Below are 12,254 nucleotides of genomic sequence, written 5' to 3'. Positions count from 1 at the left end.
TCATTCTCTTGAGCCAGGCAGCACTTCCTAAAGCTCATTTTAATCACAGTCTATGACAGTCCAGCCCTCCTTGGCTCCTGGCAGCACTTAGATGCTGATAATAGATTGAACAAAAAAGTGCTAACACACAAGTTTCCCTCAGTTTGTCTGTTTCCAAAAGTAAGTCTCCAAAGGCATGAAGTTAAGTCCTCTTTTGCATTATTATAGAGGCTCTGTCCCCATTAATTGGTGTTGAAATGTAAATTCCTTGGGCTTTTAATACTTCCATTTTCCTACCACTTAGCTCTCTGCCATCTACCCATGAGCGGCTCAGTAAATACCAGCATGTAGTGGGTCCCAGAGCTCTGGCCCTCTCTGGTCTTTGTCACCATCATCACCAGGGGCTGAGGCCTGCTTTCCTCTAGTCAGCCAAACCCGCTGTTAACTCCACTGTGGATATTTGGACAGGAAGCTCTTCATTCCCCCATCCATATGGATACTTATTTGCTGCCTTCAAATTCGTTGCTTTCTGCAGAGGGCTATGCCAAGTGCTCCACCCTTCCCCTTCATTCCTTTTGACCACTTCTGTGGCTGGGGGCAAAGGACTCCATGTTCTCCAAACCTAAGATGGAGTTGAACCACTGCAGGGCTTTAATATATGTGCTTTCACTTCAACTACACGGTCACTTTCAGAAACAGCTATTTTCATTTGTGGGATGAAGAAACAGAGGCAGCAAAAGGGCCAGTTCTGAGTGATGAGCAGAAAAGGTGGGCAGGGCCCACATCATAATGGGTCTTGTGTGCCTTGATAAAGACCTTGGACTTCATCCTGAGCAGTTTTCAGGAGGCTTTTGAGGTGACCTAGTTTATGTGTTTGGTCTTTTTCCCAGTGGAGATGTACTGGAGGGTGGGGGATGGGGACGGTGGAGGGAATGAAGACCAAAAAGGCCCTGTTGCAGTAACCCAGAAAGAGAGGCAAGGAAGAACCGAAGTAGAGGAGTGCAGCGGATGGGGAGGCTAGTGGCTGGATTCAGAAAGAATCTTAGGAGGCTGCCTCTCTGAGGCTTGGTGATGGCTTTGTATTAGTCTGTTCTCATGCTGCTAATAAAGACATACTTGAGACTGGGTAATTTATAAAGGAAAGAGATTTAATGGACTCACAGTTCCACATGGCTGGGGAGGCCTCACAATCATGGTGGAAGACTAAGGAAGAGCAAAGGGACATCTTACATGGTGGCAGGCAAGAGAGAGCTTGTGCAGGGGAACTCCCATCTATAAAACCATCAAATCTCTTGAGACTTATTCACTACCATGAGAACAGTATGGGGGAAACCACTCCCATGATTCAATTATGTCCACCTGGCCCTGCCCTTGACACATGCAGATTATTACAATTCAAGGTGAGATTTGGATAGGGACATAGCCAAATCATATTAGGCTGATAGACAGACTAAATGATGACAGCACCCTGGTTTCTGTCTTTTGGGCCCCCTGGTGGGTCAGGAAACTCAGAAGAAGGGAGAGAGTGGGTATCTGGGCCTCCCCTCCCCCTGCAGCCAGGCCTAGGTGAGTAGTCAGAAAATCTTGGTATGGCCTAGGCAATCCTATTCTGAGCCCTCAGTTCTGAAGGAAATGCAATGAAAACAAATTGATGGGTCAGAAGAGCCTTTTGAAGCCATTCTGGGGACAAAAACAAAACCTGACAGACATAGTCAACAGCCAGGAGCACCTTCAGTCCGCAGCTTTAAATGCACTTCACAAATACATACGCTTTAAATAGGTCAGACTCTGTAAGCAGGAGGGGACTTTGGGTGAGCCTGCTGGTTCAGGCTTTGACTGGGCCCAGCTAGGGGAGAGGGGTTTAGCTGGTGGCCTGCTGCTAGCATGACCACCCATCCTGTCCTCATTTGCCTGGGATTGAGAGGGTGCTTAAGACACAGGACTTTCAGTTTTAAAACTCGGACAGTCCTGGGCAAACCATGGTGAGTGAGTCACCCCACCTGCCAGGGGAAATGTTGCAACATGGATGGCTGAGCTGATTGGAACCAAAGCAGTGGAGATTTACTTCCACCTGAACTGGCATCAGTATGGGGATGCCACCACAGAGAAGAAAAGGAGCTTGGGAATAGAAAAGGCAAGAACATATCCGAAACCCTTTCCAATAGCTTCTCTGGTTCCAACTGAAGCACTTCTCTTAAAATAGGAGCCTGAGATCCTTACCCTGTCTTCCTGGAAACTAGACCGCCCTATGCCATTCTTGTTATCCCACCCATCTGATGCCTGTCTAGATATTTCAGTTGAATTTCAGATGAGTGAACAAATCCTTCAGTCCTGCTGGAATCTGGGACTTGAAAGTCCTTAACTGGACATGGAAATATGTTAAACTGAGTCTTGAGTGAGAAAAACACTTTCTTTACATAATGCATTCCTACGTCCTTAAAATCATGATTAGAAAAGACTTTTTATTTTTCTAGGAGCAGCAAGATGCAGACTCTTGTGTAGCAGTAGACCATTCAGATTTTAATTTTGCAAAGCAACTGTAATCCTCCATTATTCATCACTCTACTGAAACCAAATTTAAAAAATTTTAAGTTTTCAAAAGCTTCCTTTCTCCACCCCCATCCCAAAGATTTCTCTTGCAAAGCAAACCTCAGTAAATAAACAGGCAACATGTTGTAAATGGTACAAAGTGGAGAGCTTGGAGTAGGAAGCTAATGAAAGGGATTTTTCCTGTTGGGTCCTGGTGCAAGCCTTCAGGTACATTCAGAAATACAAAGAGAAATGCAGAGTGAGGTGACACACTCATCTTAGGACACCAGTGACAGGGAAAAGCACTCAGAGTTTATTCTCGTGGTGGCACCTGAACTCTCAACAACTAGAATATGGAGGGTGGTCTAGGAGGAATTCAGTTCAGGGAAATAAAAGCGAAAGGGAAAACTAGAGGAAGATGTGAAAAAGGCAAGAATAAGATTCCTCGGCCATGGCCATGTGGTTCAGATAGTTGAGAACCACCCCAAATGGGACTTAGGTCTTTGGAAAGTGCCCTCAATGATACCCTGCCCTCCTAAAATGAGTCTGAGAGAGAAAATGAGTCTTCTTGTTCATTTGTGGCACTCTGTACCACTGTATGAGGAGTAGATATTAGAACTTAAATAATAGCATCAGCATTTTTAAAAGGTTGTCTATTTCACACACACTTCAAATAGGTCAATTTTTAAGCAGTAGGGTGACATGGTTTATTCTTTCCTTGGTAATGTTTGGTTTTTAAAGCCAGCTATATGGATGGGAGATGTGTTAAAAATTATCTAACACAAATTTTTATTTGTGGATTTTTGTCTAAAATTCTTACATACATACACAAAATTGCATATATTATTAAGTGTACATCTTGAAGAATTTTCACAAACAGCACACCGATGTCACCAGTGCCCTGAAGGAGACACAGACTGCACCAGCCCCTGGAAGCTTCTTCATGCCCTCTTCATTATCCTCACCAACAATAGCCACTATCTTTTAACAGCATAGATTTGTTGTATCACATGCAGGGATTTTTAAATCATAGCTTTGTGTATGAGTACCAAAAAAATCCAGTCCTGTGATTTGTTTTGATGGAGAGGGTGGGAGCAGAAATTTTGTAATGGTTTTCTTTCTCTGGCTGCTGTGAGTTAGGCTTGTTAAACAGGAAGTTTCCAAGCTGGGTTCTTGCTGGTATAGGGTTTGGGGCAGGCTGGTCTCTTCTGCCCAAGACAATGCCCAGGCTGCAAGCCAGTAACCTGTTCTTGGCACCACCTGGGCCAAAGGCAGCCACCAAGCTTGCTTTATCTGCCTTATTAAAGCCTCTGTCAGAGCTTGCAAAGACACATGTCTGGGAGCACCAAGAATAGGACAATATAATGGCTGGGAGTCCTCTGAATCAACTGGCCTTCTGGAAGGTAAGGCCAGGCACAGCGACTAAAACAGCAATAGCATATCCAACGAGGACATTTTTCTCCAACTTCCAAATGAGAGTATGATTGATGAATTTCTCTTCTTCGTAGGTTTCATTGTATTTTTCTATGTGCATTCTGCCTCCTTTTCTTTTTGCTGCAGGAGGCAAAAAGTGGGAAGGTGGGAATCAAGCTATGGAACATACATCGTAATGTGTCTGGAGCGGCATCAGCAAAGGACTTATTTGTTCTCCTGGGCTGTGGAGTGCCGAGTGATTGAATACTCGCCAAGCTGTCAGTTTTATGAAACAAATTCCCTAACCCTCTTGGCCCAGAGCTTTGCTCTGCCTGAAATGGAAAAGAAATAAGTTTTAATAGAAAACTCATTGCAAAAATCTAAGATAAGATTCCCAAGCAACTTCTCTCCTAAGAATAAAATGAAATATTGAAGAAAGCATTTGATGGGGTACTCTTAGGGAACCTTATTTCTCAGTTCTTAGTTAACAAACCATGTTAATAAAAATATTTAGACTTTCGTGATGCATAATGCATTTTTATTCCTAGTGAGCTGGCCTGTTTGTATACACAGATGTTTCCTGTGGCCCTTCTATCATAGCTTCTATTTTTTCTGAAACAATATTTCTAGCAGGAAATAGAATCTTATGTTAAGAACCTAAGCCCCTCACAGACCCTGTTAGTTTGAGTGAGGATATTTTCATTTCTAGATTTAATACTTGAGGGAGTAGGGTCAGAATCTTTTTTTTTATTCAAGAACATGGAAAATACTTTTAATAAAAAGATAATGCAATGAATCCACTGTATCAAGACATTAGACAGTTCTTCCTTGGCTTCTAGATTAGACCTGATCAGTTCATCCAGGCACATTCATTGCTGAAGGGTTGGATGGCTTTTCTGTCTCCATTCTCACTGTCAAAGCTGCCATGAGTAATGTCTGCCCTTTCATGCAAACCTTAGGTGTGTTCAACTGGGTTTTACAGATTTTCCAGAGCATTGTTCTCACAGAGCTGCAGTTTCCTTTCCAGCACCAGGAGCACTGTCGCAACACAGCTCACGAGCTCAGTTTCTCTGCCACTCGTTGGAGTGCATGGAAATGCATTACAAACAAAACCCACAGGCAAGTGTGCTAAGGAAGGAAATGAGATTTTACACATCAGCACTTTAAAAAAAAAAAAGATGAACCTGTCTTAATTGAAAAATGGCATAATGCCCTAATGAAAAATCAAGTTTCAGGATTCAGTCCCTAATATCTCAGTGATGAGTGCATATTTCCTCCTGTGGCTACTCCTGCGAGTGAGTTCTGAAATAATCAGGCAGTGTGTTGAAATAAGATATCATTGGGTGTTACTATAGGAGTGAGGCATAGCTGTCTGGCTGACATGCTGGTCACCGCCTACGTGCCAGGAGAGAAAGGGATGAAACACAGGAATCCTTCTCTTCTGGCTTTTTGGAGTTTTATTTTCTTTACCTTGGTAGTAAATCTTGTTTTTCTATGATCATAAAAGTAGACATACTTACTTTAAAACATTTACAAGTATGAGAAGATAGCAAGAAGAGAATAAATATCATTCGCATTCTTACCACCCAGAGATTGCCACTATCACCATTTTGGTTCATGTCCTCACAGTCTTTTTTTTTTTTTTTTTTCCTATACATATATTCTTTATCTTCTCCAGGAGTTTGGAGCTTTACAATTCAAAGTCTTCTTGTGCTTAAATTGATTTTCTCAAAACTTTGCCGATCATTTATGTTTCCCTAATCATTAACATCAAAAATGAAAAGGTACCTGTTTTATTACTTCTCATGGGTGACAAAGAAATTTTTAGCATATTTATTTCTCTTCTTCTACTGACTGTCATATCCCCCAAGCATGTGGAACCTAGCAGTTCCTTAATATAAATGTTGAATCAATGAATGAATGACGACAGTTTATCCTCATATTACTCCCAGGGGGTGAGCATCAGCTCCTGAGACTAACGCCTTCCACCATCCTTTGCTGCCTCTCCCTCGCAGTGAGACTAAGCCTCCCTCTGTCCACTGGGTCTGTTCTCCCTGGTTTTCCATGGACTGTGGGCAGTAAGGGGATGCAATGGAAAGGGATCGCCCTTTAGAGTCAAAGGGGCCAAATTCTCAGGTCTACCAACTACTACATAATGGGACGAGTGTCTTCATCTCTCTGGCCTCAGAGATGCCAACTGTACAGTGGGTGGCAGTGATACCTGCCTGTCAGGATGAGTGACAAGTATGCAAGATGCCTAGTACACAGGAGAGATCCAACGTCTGCAGCTGCTAGTACTTTGCCCACTTTCTTTCTAATGACAGCATAAATAAAGAGCCCTTGGGGCCCTAGAGCACTTCCTTTCTCTTCACATTTCCAGTCGTTTCATCTAATGAGCCATAGGAAGATTTCTGATGAGTTACTTGATGCTTCTGTGCCAAGTAAATCAGAGAAATAACCAAGAATTGAGTGGCCTTTTTAATAATCTGTTTCTTGTGCTTCTTCTACTGCCATCGCACGTGCTTCCACTGCAGCAGGTGTCTGGCTGCATTGTAATTGTGTGTTCACACAGCTGACTCCCCCACGACACAGTGAATGTGTCTTGCATCTTGGTATCCTCAACCCGGGACCCACAGTGCTCATAATTGAGGAGTTACTCAATATATATTGATTGAATGGATGAATGAATAAATGAACAAATGAATAGTATCGTATTGTACACGTATTGTCCCTATCTCGACCACACACATGGACTTTCTGCAAACCATATTGTAGAATTAAATCGTAAGCCTTCTGAACCTGTGATGTAAGCCTCTGACAGACAGACATATAAGTACTGGTTCTGCAAAGTGCGAGCTTAAGGGAAAAAATGATATTTCCTTTTAGTTGCCATGATTAATCCATGGATTCACTGGTTCGCATGTGAGGTTCTTTAGTGGAGTAGGAGTGACAATGTATGCATGGTACAGCTTCTTGTCTGCAGCTTTTAGTTTGAGTTAGATGCGTGTTGGCATCTCTTTCACACAGAATCTGAGGAGCTGGCATTTATTTTTGACAGCATCTCAAATCTTGTGAAAGTCAGAGCTTGGGGCTGGCATTGTTTTTTAGTAGTATCTCAGACGGTGGCAGGACAACCTTGATGATAAAAAAGAGGCTTAAACAGATGTCTTCTTAGAGTTCTTCCAAAAAACTAAAAGTTCAGCAAAAAAATAATAAAAAAAAAAGCTTCTGAACTTCTAGAGCAAAGACTTCTTTGAGCATCAGCTATTTGCAGACTGGCCACAAATAAACACTCACAAACAAAGTCATAGGGATTTGTTTCCCTCTCTAATTCACTACGGTAGTGATTGCTGGTTAGTCCCCAAAACCTGTTTTGTTTATCTTCCTAGGTACCCAGATAGACTACATTTCCCAGTCTCTCTTGCAGTTGTATGTGTGGCCATCTGCCTGAGTTCTGGTCAATGGGATGTGAGTAGAAAGGATGTGTGCACCTCTGGTCCAACCATAAAAGCTTTCTAGGTTTTCCTCCAAGCTCTTCTCTTATCCACTGGCTGTCTGGGATGGAGTGAAGTCCCAAGGTCACCTTGAAAGCCACAGTTAAAGATGGCAGAGCCTCTTCTGCCTAGGGAAGGCCATTTCATGGAACAAAACTGCCAGATCTGGAGCCCCCACCCTAGACAGTTACATAAACAAGACATAAGCTTTCATTATTGAGCAATTACAAGTTAGGAGCAATTCACTAGGTAACTTATCCTACCTTAACTAAGTCATGCTCCTTGGGTTTTTTTTTTAAGCAGCCGATAGTTTTCAAAGGCCTTTTATGTGCCTGGAATTGTTTGTGTTACTAATCCTTTCAGTAGCCCTGCAAAGATTCCTTATTTTACACCGATAGATGCAACTCCAAGTAGGAAGGGGATGAGCATTTTGTCCACCACTGTCACCCCAGGATTGGCACAGAGGGTGGCATTGAGTAGGCTCTCAATGAGGCTTGTTGATGATGGATAAAAGGAAGGTTCAACAAGGCGAAGTCACATGCCCAGACCCCATAGCTAGAAAATGCTGAACTCACTGGCCTCAAGGTCCAGCTGCCTCTGAGTATTGGTAATCCAAGATTTTAAAAAGAATGGGTGAAGGGCCAGTGATGGACACTTAGAAAAAAATGTTTTTGTCTCTTTCTGACTGAAAAAAGTAACACATATTTAAAAATAAAAACATTATAGATATCTGAAACAAAGACATGAATAGTGCTCTGTAATATTATCAGAGAAAACTGGTACATGCTTGGTTTTATTCTTTAAGTTCTTAACACACACACGTGTACACACATGCTCACTCAACAAAAATTAGTTCATGTTACATGTAGAAAATATAGAAAATCTATATTCTCTCCTGCCAAATGACTTCTTCACCTATTTTTCCCTTAAATAGTTTCCTTGGACATTTTTTTCCATGTCAGAACAGACCAACCTGTGTCCTCCTTTGCAAGGACTGGGTAATATTTGGTGTAATAATCTGGGATAATTAACTAAGCCAATTCCCTCTCAGTTGACATTTAGGTTGTTTCCAGTCTTCATAACACAAAAGAGCTGTGATAAACCTGCTTGTGCATTTATCTTTGGGGGAGATTCCTGAGAGTTAAATGGTGCATACGCTGATGGGAATTTTTCACTGTCTTCCACACATGGAGACCTATTTTCTGCAGAAGGTCCAGATGGTCAACAGATATTGAAATGGACTCAGTGGAGTTCTTCAAGTTAAGGTAACAACAGCAGAAAAAGGGTTTTCCAGGATCTCAGAAGGCTGCAGCTATGGCAGTCCATGGCAAAGACTAACAGCAAGGAGGCGCCAGCATCCCAAATTGAGAGGATGGCACCTTCTGGATATTGGCTGGTTTCTCTGCATTCCCCTGGCAACGAAGTCAGCATTATCTGGAAGGTCAGGGCTGATCTGGGCCCAGGATGGACACTGTTCCACACTAAGAAGGGAAGCAAGTCTCCTTACTGCGAAGGGGGCAGTGGCCAGTAGGACAGAGAAAGAGAGAGGGAGGAGGATGGTGCATAGATGTCGCTGCAGGGTTCCTGTCAGGGCTGGAGCTGAAGGTTGCAGGACACTCACTCCACAGAACCAGGCAGAAACCTGATGTGCCCAGACAGCTTTTGGGGTGAGCAGGCAGCTCCAGGCAGATGTCTTTGTTTGCAGGCACAGCTGCGTGCACTCTGAGATGTTCCTGTCCATGAGGGATGTTTCTGGAATGATGATGATGATGATGATGACAGTGGCTGTGGTTGGCAGCGGGAAGAAGGAGGTGATTACCCAAACAGCGCTGGCATTCTAAGAGTTGGCCCTGAGAGGGCAGGGGCTGCCTCCACTCTGTGTGTTTATGATCCCTTGTGGTATGAGCATGTGATGTGTGCTTTGCGTGTATGCAGGTCTGTGCAGTGTGATGTGGTTGAGTATGTGAGTGTGCCGTGTATATGATGTGTGATGTGTGCAGTCCCATGTGTGTGACTGTGTGAGGTGTGTTGCAGCAGCAGTGTGGGACGTGAGTGCATGTGGTGTTGCAGGGTGGTGGGCATGGAGTGTGTGTGGATGTGATTCAATGCATGAGTGTGCTGTGTTTTGTGTGTGTGTGTGTGTGTGTGTGTGCTGTGTGTGTGTGTGTGTTTGAGGCGGTCCTGATTAAATTCCCCCAAACTATTCATGTTGCGCACCAAAGACCTCTGGGCTCATGTTGAGTTTTTCCTTCTGTCTTCTCTGTTTCCTGTGGCAAAAATGCCAACTTCACCAAGAGAACCCTCTCAAACATTTTCTCCCTAAGGAGACCAAGCTCTAGGCAAGGGCTTAAGTTTCCACTGGTCACAGTTAGAGAAAGACAGAGAGAGACAGTATTCTCTAGAGCTGTCCTATTTTATTTTATTATTCTTTCAACTTATTGTTATATTAGTCTATCTTACCTTTTTATAGAGGTGTATATGTAACACATACAGTAAAGTCACAGAGTACACAAATCTTATGTGCTGATGGGTTTTAAGTGCATGTGTATTCACCCGTATAATCATACCCCAGATCAAAATAGAATACAGTCCCAGCACCCTGAAGAGCTCCCTTGAGCCCATTTCTAGTCAATATCTCCCAAAGGCAAACACTATTCTTACTTCGGTATCGGTAGATTAGTTGTGTCTGCTCTAGAGTTTCATATGAACAGGATCATGCAGTATAGGTAGTCTTTTTGTCTGGCTGTTTTCACTTAGCATAATGCTTATGAGATTCATCCATGTTGTTGGTTGTGTCAGTAGTTCCTTCCTTTTTATTGCTGTGTAGTATCTTATTGTATGGATGTATTACAGTTTGTTTATCCATTCTCCTGCTGACGGACATCTGGGTGGTTTCCAGTTCAGGGCTATTGCAAATAAAGCTGCTACAAATATTCTTGAACATGTCTTTTTGTGTCCATATGTAGATCTGTCTTAATGTTGCCTGTGATAGCATTTGACAAAGATAGAGCTTGCAAAAAATAACCCCCTGCCAAAAATCAAACAACAACAATAACAAAACCCCCAACTTAACCCAGCAGGCTTCCCAGGAAGAATGAAGCAGTCAACTTGCATAAGGCCTGTCTTGACTTCTCTCCTTTGGGGGAAGAGGATCACATTAAGAAGGGTGGCAGGCTTGCCTGGACACAGAATTCCACTACCAAACAGACATCATTTCTGAGAACTTCAGAGTTTATGATCCAGGTTTCCCAGTGATTAAATTACTCCTTGGAAGGTAAGTGGGGATCTTTGGTAGGGTCACTGGCTGCTTCAGGATTTGTGAGCTGTGTTTTGGGCTCCAATGCCAAGATTTCCCATTAGAAGCCCTGTAAGGCTGGGTGCAGACAACTTCTAAAGATACCCAATTTACTTTTAGGGAACTCAGACCTTGGGAAAATCCAGCCTGTTGCCCATCCACAGGATGTCAGTAAGGATTTCAGAGAGTGAAGAAAGAGAAACAAACAGGCTTGCACCTGCACACTGGTGGGCTTTGGTCTTTTGGGTGTCTGCAGCAGCTCGCTCTTCGACTGATTATCTCTATAGTGGAAGCTATCTTGGCTGACCCCTACCTCCTGGGTACTCACCTCCACCTATCTGTGTGCTCACTTCGAACCCCTGCAGCTCTCTCCTCCAAGACTTCAGTACTGGCCCTGGAAGCATGCTTAGCCCAGGCACAGGACAAGCAAGAGGCTCTGGAGCATATGTCACCAGGAGCAGCCCTCAACTGATGATGCAATGTAACTGGAAGACAGATGCCGCTGTTTTCTCTCCCTCAGTAGGGAGAAACCTGAGGTTAACTCCCAGTGGGACTTAGCCCCAGTTGCTCATGGCAGTCAGCTGCTTATTAACGCATCCTGAATTGTTTGCCTTCCTTTCCTGCCTCACTTCTCTATTGTTCCATGGGTGCTGCCTGTGGTCCCCTTTTACATACACTGTATGCACTCAGATCTTGGTCACAGGGTCTGCCTTTGGGGGAATCCAAATTTAACCATGCTCCTCCCCAAGGAAAAATGCTTTCTGGCACATACACTAATTTTGTCTGGGGATTTTGCAAATTCCATGACACTGTCTGCATCGCCTGGTTTGGGGTTCAGCAAGGCCTTCGTCAGATATCTTTGCTGTGGAGAAGCTTGTGATCAGGGGCCAACTCAGGGGAGGACCATAATAAATACAGATGGCCCCCAACTTAACGATGTTCAACTTAGAATTTTTTTCACCTTTACAATGGTGCAGAAGTCATACTCGTTCGCTAGAAATTGTGCTTCGAATACCTGTACAGCCATTCTGTTTTTCACTTTTAGTACAGTATTCAATAAATTACTGAGATAGTCAACACTGTATTATAAAATATGCTTGCTGTTAGATTATTTTACCCAACAATAGGATAATATAAGTGTTCTGAGCTTACATTAGGGTTGGCTAGGCTACGCTATGATTTTGGTAGGTTAGGTGTATGAAATGCATTTTTGACTACAATATTTTCAACTTATGACAGGACATAACCCTATCGTAAGTGAAGGAGCATCTGTAGTACTTAATTTTCAAGCTACAATGAGGGCAGACAGCTTGGTCCCATTGCTCCCTGTCCTTGTCACTCCCGATACTGTTTGTGCACGATAGACATGTAACTCCAAAAAGATGTGAGGAAATGGAATCATTTAAGATACAGGGGTTGCAGGGGTGGGAGTTGAGGGGTGGGTATTGTTACTTAAGGTGATTCTCAGCTACTCTGTATCTCTGAGGAAAATGGCTTATCATAAAATACAGTGTGAAAAGGAAAAGACAAAAATTGTATCTGTG

The 12,254-nt window shown here is 43.2% G+C and overlaps 1 protein-coding gene across 11 annotated transcripts in view; it reads left to right on the top strand.

Annotated features, from left to right (window-relative positions):
- Positions 1–12,254, top strand: part of RAI2 (retinoic acid induced 2) — a 61,250-nt gene that overhangs the window by 13,073 nt on the left and 35,923 nt on the right. For 3 of the 11 annotated variants that reach the window (NR_033348.2, NM_001172739.2, XM_011545439.3), the window contains exon 2: positions 10,496–10,689. The exons of 5 other annotated variants lie outside the window; for them this stretch is intronic. The gene's annotated coding sequence lies outside the window, so the exon portion shown is untranslated. Of the gene's footprint in view, positions 1–10,492; positions 10,690–12,254 lie in introns of all 11 variants that reach the window. 3 more of the 11 variants (NM_001172743.2, XM_006724459.3, XM_047441788.1) reach the window with 1 other exon arrangement.

The sequence above is a fragment of the Homo sapiens genome, chromosome X, assembly GCF_000001405.40.
Source record: "Homo sapiens chromosome X, GRCh38.p14 Primary Assembly".
NCBI lineage: Eukaryota > Metazoa > Chordata > Mammalia > Primates > Hominidae > Homo > Homo sapiens.
Note: the sequence above shows the minus strand (reverse complement) of the source record. Positions and strands in the feature narration are given on the sequence as shown.